This window comes from Homo sapiens, chromosome 8 (assembly GCF_000001405.40).
Source record: "Homo sapiens chromosome 8, GRCh38.p14 Primary Assembly".
Taxonomy (NCBI): Eukaryota; Metazoa; Chordata; class Mammalia; order Primates; family Hominidae; genus Homo; species Homo sapiens.
Window position 1 is genome coordinate 132,410,595 of NC_000008.11, and position 19,274 is coordinate 132,429,868.

General features: G+C 47.2%; 1 protein-coding gene across 4 annotated transcripts in view, besides 1 other annotated feature; it reads right to left on the reverse strand.

Moving 5' to 3' along the window:
• The window catches only part of KCNQ3 (potassium voltage-gated channel subfamily Q member 3), a 360,235-nt gene that overhangs the window by 289,734 nt on the left and 51,227 nt on the right, over nucleotides 1–19,274 (reverse strand). The gene's annotated exons all lie outside the window — the stretch shown is intronic.
• Nucleotides 2,305–5,048: an enhancer, noted in NCBI's record as "VISTA enhancer hs2563". NCBI's record gives its function as "enhancer in: neural tube[4/5] | hindbrain (rhombencephalon)[4/5] | midbrain (mesencephalon)[4/5]" and the evidence as "EXISTENCE:transgenic organism evidence [ECO:0001131][PMID:17130149]".

The window sequence follows — 19,274 nt, forward strand, 5'->3', positions numbered from 1 at the left end:
GTTAGCAGCAGCTGCAGCAGCAGCCACCTTTCCCTTTCCCAGAGGTCTTTAAAAGGAGAACTGGATGGCATCTAACGTTACCTTTCACTACAGCTCTGCAGAAACTAACAGTCACATTTTTCTAACAGGAATTTGGGATATGCTGAGTTCCCCCAATGTCAAGGTCATGTCATTACACGATAACTCTGGAGAGAGATTTTTGGAGACCGCTTAGCTAATTTATAGATAGCGTGACAGATGGCAAAGTGGGACTCTGTTGCTTCTGTTTCAGCCAGGGCTTCATACAGCAGCCATCACCTGTCCCCTGAGGCCAGACCAGCACATCTCTGACCTCACCGTACACACAAAGCACCTGGGCATCTTGCTCCGGTATTTTCTGACCGTTAAGTCTGGGATGGGCCTTAAAAGCCCCCTTTCTATAAAGCTGCAGGTGATGCTGTTGCCACAGAGGGGCAGCCAGTTCCTGGAGCAGGTGCTGGGACAACTAACCAGGTCTGCATGGAGCAGGCTGCTGAAAACCCATTGTGAGAACCAAACTGTAAACATGCATAAAGGTTCCACCTGAGGAGGTGAGAATGAGAGTGTTATTTTAAGAGAAATTGTTTGGCACCTTGTGAATTCAATGTTGCCTGAGGGAGGTGAGAGGGGCTTCACACATTGTTGCCTAAGATCTAGCAAGAAGAGCTCTAAGAGACCACCTGGAGAGTGTACTGTCCCCAGACCTTGGGGACGCAGCAGTGAGTAGTGCAGTGGGCTTGATTACAGGGGACACCGACATGGGATTGGGGACGTAGGAATGTCAGACTAGAGATGCAATATGGCTTCTGCCAGCTGGAAAGCCTCTCTCAGCAGAAAGAGAAGGAGGTGGCCCTGGGTGTGGCAGCTTAAGAAGCAGCTCTGGAGAGGCACTGCAGGGGTAGAAACACAGAAGCAGGACAGGTGTTGGTGAGGGAGGCTACCAGGAACCCAGGAAAGACCCATGAGAGGAATCAGCAGCTCTGAATATCTGCTAGGGCTAGAGAAAAACAAACTGGCATATCAGGGACACACACACACAACACACACAAGGCCTCCTCCTGTCTCCACCTCCCTCCTTTTCCATGCTCCCACCCAAAGGAACTAGAAGCTGGTCTGGGACTGTTGCTGCCTACAATGAGATCATTCCTGGACTCAAACAACTGAGGGACTTTTCATTCTCTAAGCACAAGGACAAGCTGTGGGCTGCCGAGGTTTCTTTGACCATGGAGGGATGGAGCCCAGCTCCCAAGCGTGGGTTGAAATGGGCAACATGGAGATGATATGGAGCTGCTGCTGGTGCCCCAGGCATCCTTCCTGTTCAATGAATGGCTTCCACCACTCTTTTGAGCACCAATTCAGTGCCAGCTGGCCTTTTCTGGGGTTAGGCAACTAGGATTTGAACCTTAGCTCTATCCCTTACTTATGGTGCTATGCAGAAGGTTCACCCCATGGCACCCCAGAGAGGACTGAGAATGAAGCAAGCCCACTGCCTGGCGCTTGGCACCCCACAGGGCATGCAGCAGGGCTCAGCCAATAGTCCCTTGCCGATTCCAGAAAAACAATTTGATTTGTGCTTTAAAATGGTGCTTCTCCAACATGAAAGAGCTTGAGAATCACCAAGGGCAGTGATTAAAAATGCAAACTTTGTAGCTCCCCCCACCCGCCGGCCCCAATAAATTCTAATTCATAAGTCTCTATGGGGCTTAGGAACCTGCTTTGCATCTCCCCTTCTGGGTGATTCTGACTCAGGTGATCCATAAAGCACACATTTTGAGGAAAAGATGTTCAGGATGGCTCTTAGGTGAGGAAGCAGAGTGTACTGTTCTACCCCAAAGGAATATTGCGACACCTCCAACCAGGATTCAGCCAGGACCTCAGGGCTCTGGGTGAAATGTTTTAAACAGGAAACAGAAATTCTTTTGCAAATGCCACTGGCCACCTGAGCTGTCTGAAGGTAAAAGAAGTGTGCATATTTGTGCATCCCACATATGAGCCCTCAGCCTAAGCAATGGTAGTGTCACAGGGAAGAAACCCGGCAAACTCCCAGAGACAGGAGAGAGGCATGATGATGGCCCTGTGGGGATTCTGGCAATGAAGGCAGGATAGCATGGCCACCTCCCCTGCCCTGGGACAGCAGGAAGAGGACAGTCCATCACTGTCCAGCAGCACTTCTGGGGCCACATACAATGTCTATGAATGGACCCCAACTGCAAAACAGGATCTTGCTGTGGTCCCAAACAAACCTAGCACTTAGTTCTGTTGACCCGGATCACTTAAAGCAAAGTGATAAAGCAAGTGACCGGGGAGGCAGCCTCGATGTCCCATCCACCACCTCCCAACACATCAGCTTTGTGACCTCCTCTCTCCACTGACACCTCACAGTGGAGTACACACTAGGCTCTCAAGAAGTATTTCTTGCATAAGTCAAAGGACGAATGGATGAATTAGTGAAAAAATGAGTGAATGAATGAATGCACAAACTTATCTCCCATTTCCAAGTTTCCTTTCTTCAACCCAATCTATATCATGCAACCAAAGTGTTCTCGCCACGCTACAAATGATCTTAAGTTCCCCTTCTACCCAACACCTTCAGTGGCTCCCACTGGATCATGTGCAAACCTCCAGCTATGTCAGGACTTCCACAACCCAGCTCCTACCTATACATCCTTCATCTATTTGCAGCTTTCTGAAAACACTGTTTCTTTGTGTTTCTCAAAATCCTTCTTCACCTACGTTATTTCAAGTCACCCTTCAGACTTCAGTTTAAGCATCACCTCCTCCAGGAAGCCTTCCCTGACTGCCTCAGGCTGGGTTAAGTCGCCTTTCAGTCAGCAGTTAATTATTAATTCAGCAGAAGGTTATTAAATACCTACTCTATGTAGCACACACACCACTTTGAGTTTCCATACCATTCTATACAGATCTCCATTTATCTCCATTCCCCATGCCTATACAGGCCAGAATCCGAGAGGAATGAAATGATTGTGAAATGAATAAATAAATGGATCCTATAATTCCCAGGAGACTTGTGTGCTGCAATGGTTAAAAAACGTTGTCAGACGTTGTCAAGGACACCGCAAGATGGAAAATACCCCCTTTCTTCCAGAACAGAGCAAAGCTTTTGTCACATATGGCACAGGCAGCAGATTCACCGCATCCATTTTCAGAAGCTGAGGTTCCTGCCTGTCTTCTCCAAGAAGCAGGGCTTCCTCAGCATGTCTGTGTCACGCTGTCTGCAGGAGCACGTGACTGGGGAATCCCATCTGTTCTCACCCGCACGCCCACCCATGACAAATGAATTCATCTGCAGTGTTTGCCAGGAGCTGCTTTGGGAGCAAAGGAGACTGGTGATGAATTATTCATCCTGAGGAGACGCCCGCCCCAGGTTTCCAGAGCGGGTGCAGCCTGGAGAAGCACCCCTCTCAATTGCAGGGCTCAGGCCCCAGGACACAAAATAATAGTTAATAATAGTGAGCACATCTACCATGTATTGACTTCCTACAATACACGCTGTTGGGAGCTTAACCTATATTATTTAATTTCATTTTCACAATAGCCCCTCGAGGTTTCATCATCCCCATTTTCAGCATCACAGAGGGGGAAGGTCACCAGCCCCTGGTCCCACAGGTTCCTCTGATCTCCAGAAGATGTGCTTGCCCCTGCAGAAGGGCAGAGAGTCAGGAGGGAGCAGGGAAGCCCAGGGAAGCCCAGGGAGGGATCCCCTCTAGCAGAGCTGAGAGATGCCTGGCCTCCCCTCAACCCCACTAGATTTAACATTCAGAGCAGCACGTGGATCAGGCAGGATGACTTGCTCGGAGCCCTCGCCAGCCCAAGGCATGTCAAATGCAGCTGCTATTTCCAGCAGCTATTCTACCAGAGAAGCCCTGTCACATCTGATATGGCTGAATCCATGATTTTGGAGGATGGATGTGCAGTCAGCAATGGCTATACAACAGATACTAGAACAGTTGCTGGGAGCTGGGGAGGAAGGGGAATGAGGGGACCCCTTAGGAGCTTAACACTTGATACAATTATCCATCTTCAACCCCATGGACTGACGGTGGGAAAGGTGGAGAGACAGGTGGCATGATCCTTTTAGGAGAAACAAAAGCGGAAGAATAGCAAAATAATAGACAGAGGGAGCAAACAAACACTGTGCGTGATAGAAACGCATGACCCACCTCATTTCACAAGGAATTTGGAGCCACCTACAAGATCAAATACATGACAGCAAAACCGAAATATGTAAATAAGAAATCAGAGGAGTGATAAATAATGAACGAGGAACAGTGTGTCCGGCAGAAGTAGGGATGGAAAGTGGGCTGAGTTAGGGCTCCGAGCCCCAGACCACCTCCCGGAGAGGGGCTGCTGTCAGCTGTGTTAGAGACACTTGGCAGTTATCGTGTCACTCAGGTGTTCTCTGGCCTGATTGCATCAGCTCACCAAAGCAAGGGCAATTAAAGGCCATCAAAGCTAGCACAGGTGTGGAAAACTATGGCTGGCAGCCTCCTGGGCTGACTCTCAGCCTCCCTCTGAACCATCTACTGCCTCAACCTCCACTCCAGGGTACTTCTCTCTTGTCTTTCATTTCTACTCCTGCAGCCTGCGTTTCCTCCCAGGTCTGCTCCTCAGCCTGATGTCTTTGTCAGCCTGAGTGTAGCAGGCATAAGGATTCAGGAACCTCTACTCCAGTCAGCTCCAGTGCAATGACACCAGAGGAGTGTCACCACCAGGCTGGACAGTGAGGTGTCTCTTGCCCTGGCATTTCCTCTAACATGGTGCTTAGAATGTCACCACCATCACCACCCCATGAGTCTGGGAGCTCTCTGACTGCAGGAGCCAAGTCACCCACCTCTGGATTTCCAGGGCCCAGCCCCCGGCTGCAGAACCAAACAGCAGTGACATTCAGCCTTGTGACTCATGTCTCTGCAGTGACAGTGCTCAGGGACCCAGGCTGCTCTGCAGACCACAGGCTCAGATGGGATTCCATTTCTGTCTGTTCTCTGACTACGAATGTCTCAAGAGCAGCCCCAGGCTCTGGTGCTGTACATGGTATGGACAGTTCTTTTGATGGCCATCAGAGAGAGATAAATCATCGTAACTGTGCATTCTCAACGGGACAAAAAAAAAAGCTACTTAGGGAGCAAAAGCTATCTTAGCTATTGCCATGATTTTCGGCCCTTCAACAGGCCACAGTACATATGCAGCATATCTCTGGCATGAAAATTTCATGGGATTAGGAAGAAAAGATCTAAAAACACTCACCATGGCAATAATCATGAACAAAATATTGAGAAACACTGGTCCATACTACTCATGTGCATGAGAGCCCATCTGGTAGGCACCTCCCAGCTATGCCTTCATTTCTCCAAAGAATAACCAGAGGTTCAGGGAGGTCATATGACTCACCCCAGGCCACAGTGGTGGCACTGAAATAGGACTCAGACCTGGTGCTAGAGGTTCTACCAGAAGACACCTTCCATGTGTGGGAATGAGATGTTTGTCTTGAGGCACTCACGTTTGTTGTTGTTGTTTTTATTTTGATGTTTGTAAGCAAAAAATAATTTTCCTTTTCTAAAAATGAAATTAAGTTCTATAAATATTCATTGCTAAGACGGTATTTCTCTAAACACCATCTCTCAAAATCCCAAACTGGACTTCCTCTTTGGAATTCAAAAACTTATCTTCTCTTTGGAATTCCAAACTTAACAGAGCTTAATAATTCATAAATTCAGTCGGGCACAGTGGCTCATACCTGTAATCCTAGCACTTTGGGAGGCTGAGGCGGGTGGATCACCTGAGGTCAGGAGTTTGAGACCAGCTTGGCCAACATGGTGAAACCTCATCTCTACTAAAAATTAGCCAGACATGATGGCGGGCACCCATAATCCCAGCTACTCAGGAGGCTGAGGCAGGAGAATCATTTGAACCTGGGAGGCAGAGGCTGCAGTGTGAGCTGAGATCGTACAACTGCACTCCAGCCTGCGTGACAGAGTGAGACTCCATCTCAAACAAACAAACAAAAAAAATTCATACATTTACTCAAGAGGTGTATACATCCAGTAGGTACTAGGCATGGGGCACTGAAGCCACAGAGAGGAATTAGATACAAAACCTGCCCTCAAGGGGTTTCCAGTCTAGAGGAAGGTGGTGCCCAGGGCTGGGTCCACGCTGAGAAAAGGTGAGCTCGGAAGGCTGCAGGGTACAGACAGGAAGGCTGGGTAAGTGCAGTAGGCTTTGTGAAGGGTGTCCCTCTGAACTGAAACTGAAAGGCAGGGCAGGTGTTCCCTGTTGGAGCAGACAGATAAACAATCTAAACAGAAGGGCTAACATGTGCAAGGGGACACGTCTGAGGGAGCCTGAAGGGTGGAGGAGCTAACAGTTCTCTAGGGAGAAACTTATGTCCAAGTAGCCACCACCATTATTGGGTCCTCCTTCTGCCCAAAGAAACTGAGCAGAACAAATCTAATCCTCGTTTAACCTGACAGGCTGTACGAGTCTGATCCCATACACTCATGCAAACATTGAAAGTGGGCAACATCCCGTATAGAGACTATTTACAAAGGTGAGGAAAGGTTTAGGGAAATCAACAAGGGAGGGTGAAGCCCCTGGGATTGGCAATAACAGAGAACTGTTACCATCTCTCCAACTAAGGAGGCCAGGGGAGAGACCAGTTGTCAGAAACCAGGAAAACTGATGGCTCTTGGAGGAGCTGTGGCCCACAACAGCCCAACAGGGAGGGGACCAAGTCCTCTCCTCCTGACTCTGACCCACCCATCTCCTGCTGGTTCCTCCTATTGTCTGCATCCAATCAGAACTCAGAGGCAAGGAGGCCACTGGTGAAATTTACAAGTTGAGTCTCCCATGGGTGGAGAATAGATTTGGAGAGGCAAACAGAAAACACCCAGCACATGGACAGCCATGGGAGACATCTACTTTTTTTTGGAAACCTAATCTGCATATAGTCTCTGTTCTGGTGACATACACACTCTATGTGCTGGGGACTTGACCACTTAGCAGCAAGACGGTCATCTGACTCAGACCTGGGCAAACCCATCCATCCATCCATTCATTCATTCATTCATTCATTCATTCCAGGCATGGCACTGAATAAGAAGGATATGTCCGTGAACAAAACAGACTTCCTTCCTAATGGAGTCCAAGCAATGGGAGTGCTCCCGGAATATATGCCAAGCCAGTCATTCAGAACCTAGTTCTGGAACCTCTGTGGACAACAACAGGAAAAAAACGTTCTCTTTCTGTTGGCCTTGGAGTTGAGAGGATGCAGGTCTGGAGACCCATGAGCCAGCCAGAGGGCAGCAGAGTGAGGATGGCTTCAATCCACCCAAGGTCCGTGGTGCAAAAGCACTCCTGGCTCTAGTTGAGGGGAATATTTCTCCACCGAGCCACACCCCCCTCATCTTCCAGAGGAGATTTCCTGAGATCACCGGGATTGGATCAGGGACACGACACTTAGCATGCTGGCACTGTGATTGGGAATAAGAAGGCAGTGCTGGTTTTTTTCTGAGTAAGAACATATTACCCACACTGAGTGACCCACACGAAAACAAGGAGGAAACAATTACTTTGAAGCCTGAGGACAAGATAAATATAAACTCAGACCATAGGCTTTCTGAAGAGGAGCGGCATTAACTGGCAGCCAGCAAGAAGGGATCTGTGACAGAGCTGAGGAAACATCCGTGGCTCTGTGTGGGTTTAATGAGGCGTGCTCACGGAAGGCTGGCAGGAGAGCAGAAAAAAGCAGGCGAGGGAGGGAGGAGCTCTGGGTCTCAACCCGACTCTGCCTCTAATGGTCTCTGTGACTAGGGGTAAGTCATTTATTCCCCACTCGGGTTTCACCCTCCTCAATTGCTAAATTTAAAAAGTAGATGGCCGGGCACAGTGGTTCACACCTGTAATCCCAGCATTTTGGGAGGCCAAGGCAGGTGGATCACTTGAGACCAGGAGTTCAAGACCTGCCTGGACAACATGATGAAACATCGTCTCTACTAAAAATATAAAAATTAGCCAGGTGTGGTGGTGCGTGCCTGTAGTCCCAGCTACTTGGGAGGCTGAGGCCAGAGAATCACTTGAGCTGGAGAAGCAGAGGGTGCAGTGAGCCGAGACCATGCCACCGGACTCCAGTTTGGGCAACAGAATGAGACTATGTCTCAAAAAATAAATTAAATAAATTTAAAAACATAAAAATAAAAAGTAGATAGTTGTAAGTGGTGTTGGGGTGTGGGCACAGAGAAAGGTGAGGAAAAGCAGCAGGCAGCATTGTGGTCAGACTTCTGTGCAAGTCCTAATTCAATCTTTAAAAGCCATGTGACGTAAAGCAAGTCAATTTCTAAGCCTCAGTTTTCTCATCTGTAAAATGGGCATTACAGCACCTACCATAAGATACACAAAGATGTAAGTGATCTCCAGCACATGGGAGAAGCATGAGAAAAGCGAGGCAACATCACTGAGAAGAGATCCATCTAAAAAGGTCAATACAATGCCTTCCAGTCCAAAAGCCTAATACTTCGGGAACTAAGGCATGGCAGCACTCTTTGAAGAAGGCAGAAATTCCTTCCACTGCCAGGCTCCCTGCTGAACAACAGTGTTCTCTCACCTTGGCTTAACCACAGCACCTTTCATCCTCTCAATTTTCAGCTGTAAAAACTTTGAAAACTATTAGACCATTTGTCTGGATTTCTGGATTTGCAGGTCACGGGCATCATTGAAGATAGAGCCACCCTAGTAAAATGCAATAATAAATGCAACATTTTTCATTTAATACTGCTTTTAAGAGCATTATCTCCCTCTGTCTTACCATTGTTAATACACTGATGGAAAATTCACACAAAAAACATCCAGTGCCTGAGTCCTGATTCCTGAGACCAGACAGAGCCTTTCTTAGCCTTAAAATGCTTTCCAAGAAAACCATCATGGGGGCCAGAGAAAAGACAATGGACAGCCACACCCATCTCCACCACTGAAGCTGCCTGTGCCCTCAGAGAGTGCTCTCTGTAGATCAGAAAAATGAGAACTGTTTTCTATGTAGCCAGTAGATACAGGTGCTATTCTAGGTGTTGTACCTCAAAACAAATCTTTGATGGTCAATATTATTAGCCCATTTTAGAGATGAGAAAACTGAGGCTCAAAAATCCCGAAGTGACTTTCCAAGGCAACACAGATATTCAGCATCAGTAACAACAACTGATAAGTCCTGTAATTGAGCCCAGTACTGTCTTACCGGAAAACCTGCATTCTTCCAAACATGTCAACATGTCATCTCTTAAAGGATAAAACGAACAGCACTCCCACGTTGGAATACATGGGTACTGTCTCAGTCAGTTTGGGCTGTTATAACAAAGTACCAGAGAGTGAGTAGCTTATAAACAACAGAAATTTATTTCTCACAGTTCTGGATACTGGAAGTCCAAGATCAGGGTGCCAGCATTGCTGGGTTCTGGTCAGGGCCCTCTTCTGGGGTGCAGACTGACACCTTCTCCTTGTGGTCTCATATGGTGGGCAGAACATGGGAGATGGGAGAGGGCTCTGGGGTCTCTTGTACAAGAGAGCACTAATCCCATTCTTGAAGATTCTCCCCCATGACCTAATCACCTCCCCAAAGCCCCACCTCCTAATACTATCACACTTGGAGTTAGGACTTCAACATATGAATTTTGGAGGGATGCATTCAGTCCATAACAGGTTGCCCACCCAAGGGAAGGAATATTTGGGTGGGTAAGTCCCGATGTGCCTTAGAAAACATCACTGCAGTGTCATGGACACAGATGATGAGGGTCCATCCACCTTCTGGGCTGCCACAGCCAGAAGACCAGCCTGGCGACATCTGCAGCTTGCCCTTTTCCCTTGAGCCAGAAACATCCAGCACCAGGACTTGATGTCTCCTCGGCTGACACCCGGAAGTGTGTGGGCTGTGTTCTTTTTTCAAAAGATAGAGATGAACCAGATCCCAGGCAGCACATAAGGGAGGTCACTGTGGTCAGAACAGACTCACGGAGGGAAGAATCCTCTGGGAAAGCATAAGTGTTTATTTAACTGCTTTATGCTTCAGTGAATAACTAATTTGTACCAAACCCCAGTGTTCTTGAGGTGTGTTGATAAATGATGTTGCAAAAGCAACATGTTTCTGTGCTTTCCATGTGTTTTGCATTTCTGGAGTCTGTGAGGAGAGTCTCTAACTGGGGCTCTAGATGCTGGGAAGCACTGCACAGAGGGCCCCTGGGTTTCTCTCCTCGACCTCGGTCACTCCAGCTCCCAGACCAGCACATAGTAGAGATGTAGAGATGCAAAAAAAACAAAAAACAAAAAAGTTGCTTGGGTTGACATGAAATACATTTAAATTTTAATCCCCAAAGTAAACATGATTTGAAAGGTAAACAGGAAGGCATGACTGGCATATACCAGGAGGAGTTTGAGCAGGGGATGTGGGGCAGAGGTGAATGTTTAAACGGCTCATACAGTCAACCTGCAAACATTAGGAGGGCTTTGCTGTGTTTTCTAAATTTTCTGGTTAGATAAGTGTATGTGCAGATGTAATACACAGTCTTGTGTTCCAATTATCTCTACATATGAATAATATATTTTAAGATATTTGATGACTAAATATATTCATGCATGTGAGGGGCACATAGAAGCTCTCAGGAAAATGGTAGCAGTCTGGGCCCAAGAAAACGTCTAGGAAAATGAAATTCCAACAGTTCATCACAAATTGTTCGATAAGAAGTCTCAAGAAGCCAACGCTGGGAAATGGGAAAGGCTCCCTCATAACTACCAGCTGACAAAAGGAACAGGTGACACGAGGTGCTGGCAGGAAACATTTTTAAAAGTTCTTCAAATCTACAGGAAGAGCGCAGAGGAGCAGAGGAAAGACAGGTTATGACCAAAATGATGCTGCCTGACCTAGGGTGTGTGGGTCGGGGGAACAAAATGGGGGATTCACTTGGGGCAGATGGTGGGTGGTAACAGATGACAGGTGAAAGTGGTCTTTTTTTTCTTTTTTAACCTCAACTGGTGGTTCTGTCTTCAGCAAAAACAATGTGTTCCAAAGGAAAATGAGGAACAAACCTCCGTAAGCAGGAACAAGTTGGAACATATGAAAGATCCTACCAGGATGCGAGACACTGGCCTAGATGAACCCTCCACCTGGATCTGGCTGCAGAATCACACAGGAAATTTATCTTTTAAAACAGATAATGGGAGAGACATCTGGATCCTGAAGATGGGCAAATACAGACTTCATTTTCCAAAGGGAGCCAGGATGGGCCAGGTTCAAATCCTCATACTAGTTCCAATGTTACAGGCTTTCCGTCTCCCTTCCTCTTCTGGTGGGATCATGAGGCCTCTAGTGCTGGGGCTGCACCATCAGTGTTAGAAAGAGAGAAAGGTTATACCCTCCACTCAGAGCTACAGCCTTTCTACCCAGATGCCTGGTCAGTGCCTCCACCAGCTCACACCAACAATGACTGCCTGCCAACACCAGATTTCACCTCCAAACTGGCTTGGATTTCACCTCCAAACTGGCTCATTCCAGGATCGCCCTTCTCAGGAAATGACACCACCATCTAATGCAGTTGCTCCAATCAGAGACCCACGAGCCATCCCTGACTCTTCCCTTCTCTTTATCTGCACATTGACTTCCAGAATAAATCCAGAAACCTCTGTCTTCCCTTCACTTCCATGCCTAGAACTCAAGTCCAGCCACCACCACCACTCACTGCATCACTCCAGTGATCGCTGACCTGGTTCCCCACTAAGACTCAGCAGAGCCGCCAGAGGGACAGCCTCAAAGCATATGTTTTGCATTATATTTAAATCTAAACTCTCTATCCTGCAGGTGTGCCTCTGCAAACCCACCTGCTACTGTTCTCCCAACTGTGCATCACATTCTAGCTCCTCTGGCCTTCCTTTAGTTCCTGGAACACGCAAGCTTTCCTACCTCAGGATCTCAGGACACGTGATCCTCCAAGAAATAAGTTCTCTTCCACCAGCTGCACCCGCCCCCAGCACTGGGCCTGACTGGCTCCCCTTCCGGCAGCTGTATCTCAGGGACGCCTCCTCCCACGACTCTCCATATAACTAAGCACTTCATTTCCAAATCCTAATGCATAATTATTTGTCCATTTACTTGTCTGTCTGCCTCCGCAACTAGAGAGTCAGCTGCCTGAGAGAGGAAATGATGGATCCGTAAGCTTAGGCCTGAAGAAATCCTCAGGATAGACAGTGGAGGGAGAGAGGGGTGAGAATTTCAGGTACAAGAAATTGCATGAGTGAAAACACAGCCATGGAACAGCACACATAGAGAGGAGCAGGTCCTGAAGGAGGGCAGGAAGGAGATGGGGTTGGAGATGTAGGCAGAGGAACCAGGAGACCTCAGATGGCTAGACTGGGAGCCCCTTCCCAAGACGCACACATTGCTAAAATGCCAATCCCCTCTCCAGGGAGAAGCCAGAATTAATTGTTTGATGTGGTCTGACAAAATGGGTATTACCATGTAATTACCACCCCCCACCACCACCCCTCTGCCACCTGTTGAGAGGAGGGTAACACAGTGTGTATGTCATCTGGAGGACACAGCAGCTTCCAAGACAGGTCACTATTGCCAGTAAGGACCAAAGGGAACCATTTCTGAGAAACGACAATAAAGTTGCCCACCAAACAGGCATTGGTGTTCCAGGACTTTAACCCAATCCCATTGAGTTGGGTCCACATTCTAGCAACCTCTCTTCCTTCTGGACCTCCAGAGTGGGCAGAATTGAGCTTCCTCCACAAAATGGCAATACTTACTCCTGAACATCCATCATCTGAAAAGGCAGGAAGGGGCAATGGTTAAGAGCATAGACTCAAGCCAGACTCCTGGTTTGGCCACTCTATGGCCATAAGAGATGGCCACAAAACAGTTACTTAACCTCCCCATGGGGCCAAGTCTTCGTCTGTAGCATGAGGTCACTAACAGCTTCTATCTCACAGGGCTGTTGTGAAGATCCGATGAGCAAATCACTAACAAAGGAAGGCACATTTATCCCCACTGTGCAGTTGGGTAAACTGGAGTTCAGAGAGGTGAGTAATTCAGCCGAGGTCACACAGCTGTAAGTGGCAGAACCAGTGCAGTCCCATCCCAGAGCCCCACGCTCCTGACCTTTGAGCCACAGCGACCTGCTCAGCTTTCAGGTGGAGCCTCACCCGGATGGCCCCACCATACAGTATGGAGACCCCAGCACACAAGCAGCTCTGAAGGTGGTTCCAGGACACTGAGTAAAGCGTATTGTACTTCAGCTTAGTTAAGTATAACCACATCCTGAGCACAACCAAAACTAGGTCAAAAAAATTATTTCTGGGATTTAAAAAAAAACAAAAGCTGCAGGACTATCTTAAATGTTTCTCCCATAACTTGCAGCTGAATGATCTCAAATGAAAAGCTTGATACTCTTCTTCCCCACCATGTCACATCGCTGTGGCTGACTGGAATGAACTGGTTCCGAATGGCAGCCCACACCCCTCCCCCCGCCACATAGCTGGCTTTCTCCAAGCACAGCAAAGTGAACTAGGGACAGAATCAGCTGCTGCCTCTGAGGGGCGCAGACACACAGCTGTTCTGCCTCTGTCGCCCATTCCACAGAATAGACGTGCCCCCCACCCCAGCCCTTCCTCCCTCTGTCTCACTGCCCTCCAGCCCCTACCCCTCTCCAAATGTCACAAGTACTTGACAATTCCAGTCTCAACAGCTCCAAAAACTCTAACCTCTACCTTTGGTCACTCTGTGTTCCCATTTTGTACTCCCATCCCCCCAACCCTCTCATTCGACAGATGAGGAAACTGAGGCCCAGAGAGCAAAATAGATTGTTTCAAGTCCCACAGTCCATTGGTGGCAGACCAGGGCAAGAGCCCAGGGCTCTGGGGACTCAGGCTGGTCATCTTCCTGCCTCATCAGGAGAAGGTCCTAGGGACACTTGGGTGGTATTCATTTCCTGGGGTTCTCTTAACAAATTAACACAGACTTGGTGGCTTCAAACCACAGGAACTTATGTGTCACAGTTCTGGAGGCAGAGGTCTGCCATCAAGAACTCATCAGGGTATCACTCCCTCCGAAGGCTCTAGAGGAGAGCCCTTTCTTGCTTCTTCCAATTTCTGGTGACATCAGGTGTTCCTGGGCTTCTGACTACATAACTCTAATTTCTGGCCCAGTCTTCACATCATCTTATCCCCCTCTCTCCATGTGTCTCACCAAGGACAAGGACACTGTCACTGTATTTAGAGCCCACCAGGTACATCCAAGATGATCTTATCTTCCGATCCTTAATTATATCCACAAGGAGTCTTTTACCAAATAAGTTCATATCCACGGGTTCCAGTGTTTAGGACACCAATATGTTTTGGTTGGTCATCAGTCAACCCACTATAATGAGTTTCTTCCTGGGGATTCCCAGTGCCTTTGGAAATCAGGAATTTGTGAGGACCATGGTGGGTAAAGACCCTCAGATCAAAGTTACATCAGCCCACACAGTGGAGCTCGTGGATCTGCAGCAATGACCTGCCCCCAACTGGACGCCAATACATATAGTCTCAGGAGAGTCACTGGGATACAGAATGCCAGAATAAAGAGAAGAGCTGCTATTTATAGAAGGCGTAGTGGGTAACAGGCAAGCTGCTAAATCATTATACACATTGCCTTTCATCCTTACAGACACTCTGTAATGTAAGTAGCAAGTAAACTCCATCAATTACTAGCTGGGTGCCTTGAGACAAGTAAATTCTCTAAGCCTCAATTTCCTCACCTTAAATGAGTAATAATACGATCTGCATTGAGAGGATCTTGTGAGATAAAGAAGAAAATGTATGGGAAATGCCTAGCACAGTGGCACACACAGACACACACAGTACGAACTGATATCATCATTACTCCTCTCTTTATTCAGTGTCACCATCTGGTTTTTTTAAATCAATGTTATATCTCCTTTCATAACAGCCACGACCCCAAAACCTTCTTAGGGTGTAAACAGTAGTTATATACTTGGAGTGTTATTTTACATGCACGCAGGAAGTTTGTTGTTTCAAGGAACTCCTGGGGGACTCCTGCTGTAAGGCTTAAGATCCTCCGGCAGCATGAATATGAATCTGCCAAGGTATCTACTCTACTCATTTGTATTCATGGTCATGTTCTAATTATTTAAGTGGGGCACAACTCCTGTCAGCTCAATGAATCTGTGTTTTCCAGTCTTGGCTGTATTCAGTCCCACTGACTGGTTACCTCATTCTCTGATTCTAAGACAAAGCCTGAATTAATTTAGAATATTTTGGTTCTCCCAACCACTACAACATGACAGTACAAAGGGAAATTTTGAAGAAAATGAATTCTATTGTTAAAACAATGCCCAGGTGCAAAGAAATACAAATGCAGACACACACAGAGAAGAACCACTTGCTCACATTTGATTCCACAAGCTTTTGGCAGGAGCCTGCATGGCGGGTGGGAAAGATCACAGGCTTTGGAGTCCAACAGCCCTGGGTTCAAATTTCAGCTCTCCCTATCCCAGTTGTGGTGTAAGGCCTAAAGTTAAGGATCAATATGGCGGGCTGCCTTGACATCTGGTGAAACTGGCAGGGCCTCAGATGGCCTAACTGAAAGTTCCCCTCCCTCCTCCGCTCCCATGGATAAGGCCCTCAGGCAAACAACCCTACCCATCATGACACCGGCCATGGTTCCTGCTTATCCCTAAATAGCGTGTTTCAGTTCCTCCTCCAACAGAGTTGTTAAAATAAGCCAATCAGATCCTCTTGTGGGAACCAGGGGGCACCCCCGCCAGTAAGCCTGCCTCTCACAGCCTGGTTTGCTCTCTGTGATCCCACATGCAATCCTCATGGGGACCAGCATGGCACGCAGTGTCCTCCCCCTGGGGCTGTGAGTATATGTGAAGAATAAACTATCGATCTCCCCCGTCCAGTGTCAGGTGTCATAGGTGCAGCCAATCCCATATCCCATAACTGTAGGGTGAAATCCTTCCCTCACCAATGGAATGATTAAAGCACCAGCTGGTGTGCTGTATGAACTTTGCCATTCTCTGACCAATGGTTTTATCAATTTCTCCAAGGAAGAATAAAAACTTCCTTGCCAAGAACCAAAACACAAATTCCTATGGTCTCACTACAGGTACTCCCTGGTCCCCCAAAATAAACATTAAAGCAAGGAGATAAATAACCCTTGAGAGTGGATGGTTGATACATTCCCTCCCACTTCCTCACTTTCATGCATAAACAACACTTACATTCCTAAGAAGGGATAGGCTAGATCCCTTCTAACTCTAACATCATATGTGTTATTATTATTAACTAGTGGACAGTAGGGCACAGATTAAGACTATAAAGCTATCTACCTAAGAAACACAAACACATCAGCAAGAGAGTGGTGCTTGGTGCAGGAAGGGCAAAAAGAATGCATCTCACATGCAGAATCTAAATGATTGTTGCTGCCCCCTAAGCACTGTCTTGAGAAGGGTCCAGCAGCAGCAGGTCATGATTGATTAGTGATGCCTATGATTGATTTGTGATGTCTGCCATGGGCAGGGGTGTGGGCCAAGACAGCAGGCTGATGGCAGAGGTGCCCTTCTGCCTCTATGGGAGTAAGAGTACCAGTCTTGCACACAGAGCCCTAGGGTTCTAGTCAGTCTCCTTCTAGGCACCTCAGTCTCTGTCTGTAAAATGAGATAAATGAACTGATGATTTCTGGGATCTTACCCTCCTCTTTCTTGCCTGGTCTCCTTTAACGTAAGGAGTCACATCATGGTGAGGGACCTGGATGGGGTCACTGACCTCAGGAAGGAGAGAGAAGAAACCATACAGACCATGCTTTTGGCTAATTGTGTTTTTTTTCTGCCTGATAAACACTTAAAATCCTACCAGGTCTGACCCCAAAGAAAGTCTCAGAAGCAAAGGAATTGCTGTAAGCTGCATTTGCTCTCTGCAACAGCAATTTAAGATGTAAAAATAACAGCCTTTGTTCCAGCAAGGCCTGGGATCTGGGCAGCAAAACCAAAGAAACCAAGGCCTATGCTGGGGCTCTGTGTGGGCTCTCTCCAGAATTACCTGGTGAGGTGGAGCTCCCCAGCTCTGCCACAGGCAAGAGGAAGACCGGGGGTAAAGCCACAACCTCTTCTCCAAGGAGCAACTGAAACAGCAGCTGAGCACAGGAAGAGAAAATGGCCCAGGTTGGTGTCTCTTCATAAAGAGGCCCAGATCTCTTTTCAATAAAATGGCCTTTAATCGCTTTAAAGATTTTATTAAAAATTCCCCATGGACCAATTATCGGCAATGCTTCCTAGCCACGATCTATCTAGCAATCATACCCAAGTCTTATGCCTTCGCCTGCAGATGCTCCCGGGCCTGCTGTCTCTCCTTGTCTTCCCAGTGCATCAGTCTCTGTGTCTCTGATTCTGATTATGTATATGTCCCCATCTCAGGCCTTGTCCCTCTGCAACTCTGTCTCTCTCGACTTCTCGGTCTCTGCACCTCTGCTCTCTCAATACCCATCTTCCTCTTTGAAACTGTCCTCCTCTTTTTCTCCATCTGGCACACTCTGTCTCTCTCTTTGTGCCATTCTCCTACCACCCCCTCCTCTTTAAGATCTTCTTTTTCTCTAGACAGAGTCCTGCTGTCTAGGCATTCTTCTCATTCTTTCTGCCTTAAAGAAGTCTTTTCCAACATGAAATGCCTGCTGTAGCCAGACAAAAATTCTTTGGAAGCACACCCTCTCAACCACTTTTGCATAAGGCAACTTATTTGAAAAACATTATTACCATAATTAACAAAAACAATTTAAAACCGCAATCAGCCTCTGGTCCCTGGAAGCAGCACATAGAAATTAGTCAGTATTCTCTCCTTGCCCCCAGAACCCAGGAGAAAATTCACACACACACACATACACACACATACAGAGAGAGAGAGAGCACTTTCTACCCTTCACTACAAATGGTGAACACTTAAAATGCTACCAAATTTGTGATTTCTTTTATTAGGTTTTAAAAATATAAGATACAGCAAGCTATACCTCTGTTAAACTGTATACGTACATTTACATTTTATAAAGCTATTTAGCATATGCCTCGCCAGGAGCACTACTTAAGTGCAGTTTAGAGCACCTTTCCAGTTGGCACAAAATTATATTCACTCAGTTACATAAGCAGATATTAAGCATCCATTGTTTGGGGGAGGTTGACATATGAAAAAGAGACCACCCTTCCTCTAAAGGTATGTAAACACTGAGGGAGGAAACAAACCTCCAAACAGAACATCACGTATAATAAAGGTAGTAATAGAAGGGACACCTGAGGGAGGTAAGCAGGAACGACACAATGACTTCCAAGCTTAGTTCCCGAAGGACGGGATAGCCATTCCAGACCATCAACTAGGGGAAGACATTGGCACTTGGAGCAATGCCAAACTTTGAATTAATGCTTTATATTTTTCAAAACATTATTTGTAAGTACCTTCCCCAGCATTCATGTTTTGATCCTCATAAGCACAGTGCCAGGCAGGTTGCAGGCACCTGATGCAAGTTTGTCAACCACTAATGAAGAAGTGGATGACCTGGTCATCTCTGGGTGAGCAGGCATCTTGTCTCCTTATCATTGCAGGCTTAACAGCTAGCCCATGGGTGGTTCCAAGTGCACCTCCCATACATGTGCACTGAATGAATCTCTGGGCGAGGCAGAACTGGAGGCATCAGTAGCTCTATATGACAGATGATAAAACTAAGACAGAAAAGATAATCCCATGGCCACGGTCATCTAGCTAATTAGGAAAGCTGTTGAAAACAGATGAGCATTCATCCACTCTGAGATTCCATCCATCCAATACATGCATTATTCTCTTAAGCATTTCTAGATCCATCTCAAAGTTTTACCTCGCTGTCATGTCAATAAATAGAAGAAGAAAGAGCCCTAAGAATGAGAGTTTTCTGGCTGGGTGCAGTGGCTCACGCCTGTAATCCCAGCACGTTGGGAAGCCAAGGTGGGTGGATCACCTGAGGTCAGGAGTTCGAGACCAGCCTGCCCAACATGGTGAAACCCTGTCTCTACTAAAAATACAAAAAATTAGCCAGGCGTGGTGGCAGATGCTGTAATCCCAGCTATTCGGGAGGCTGAGGCAGGAGAATCCCTTGAACCCAGGAGGCGGAGGTTGCAGTGAGCTGAGATCGTACCACTGCACTCCAGCCTGGGCAACAAGAGGGAAACTCCTTCTCAAAAAAA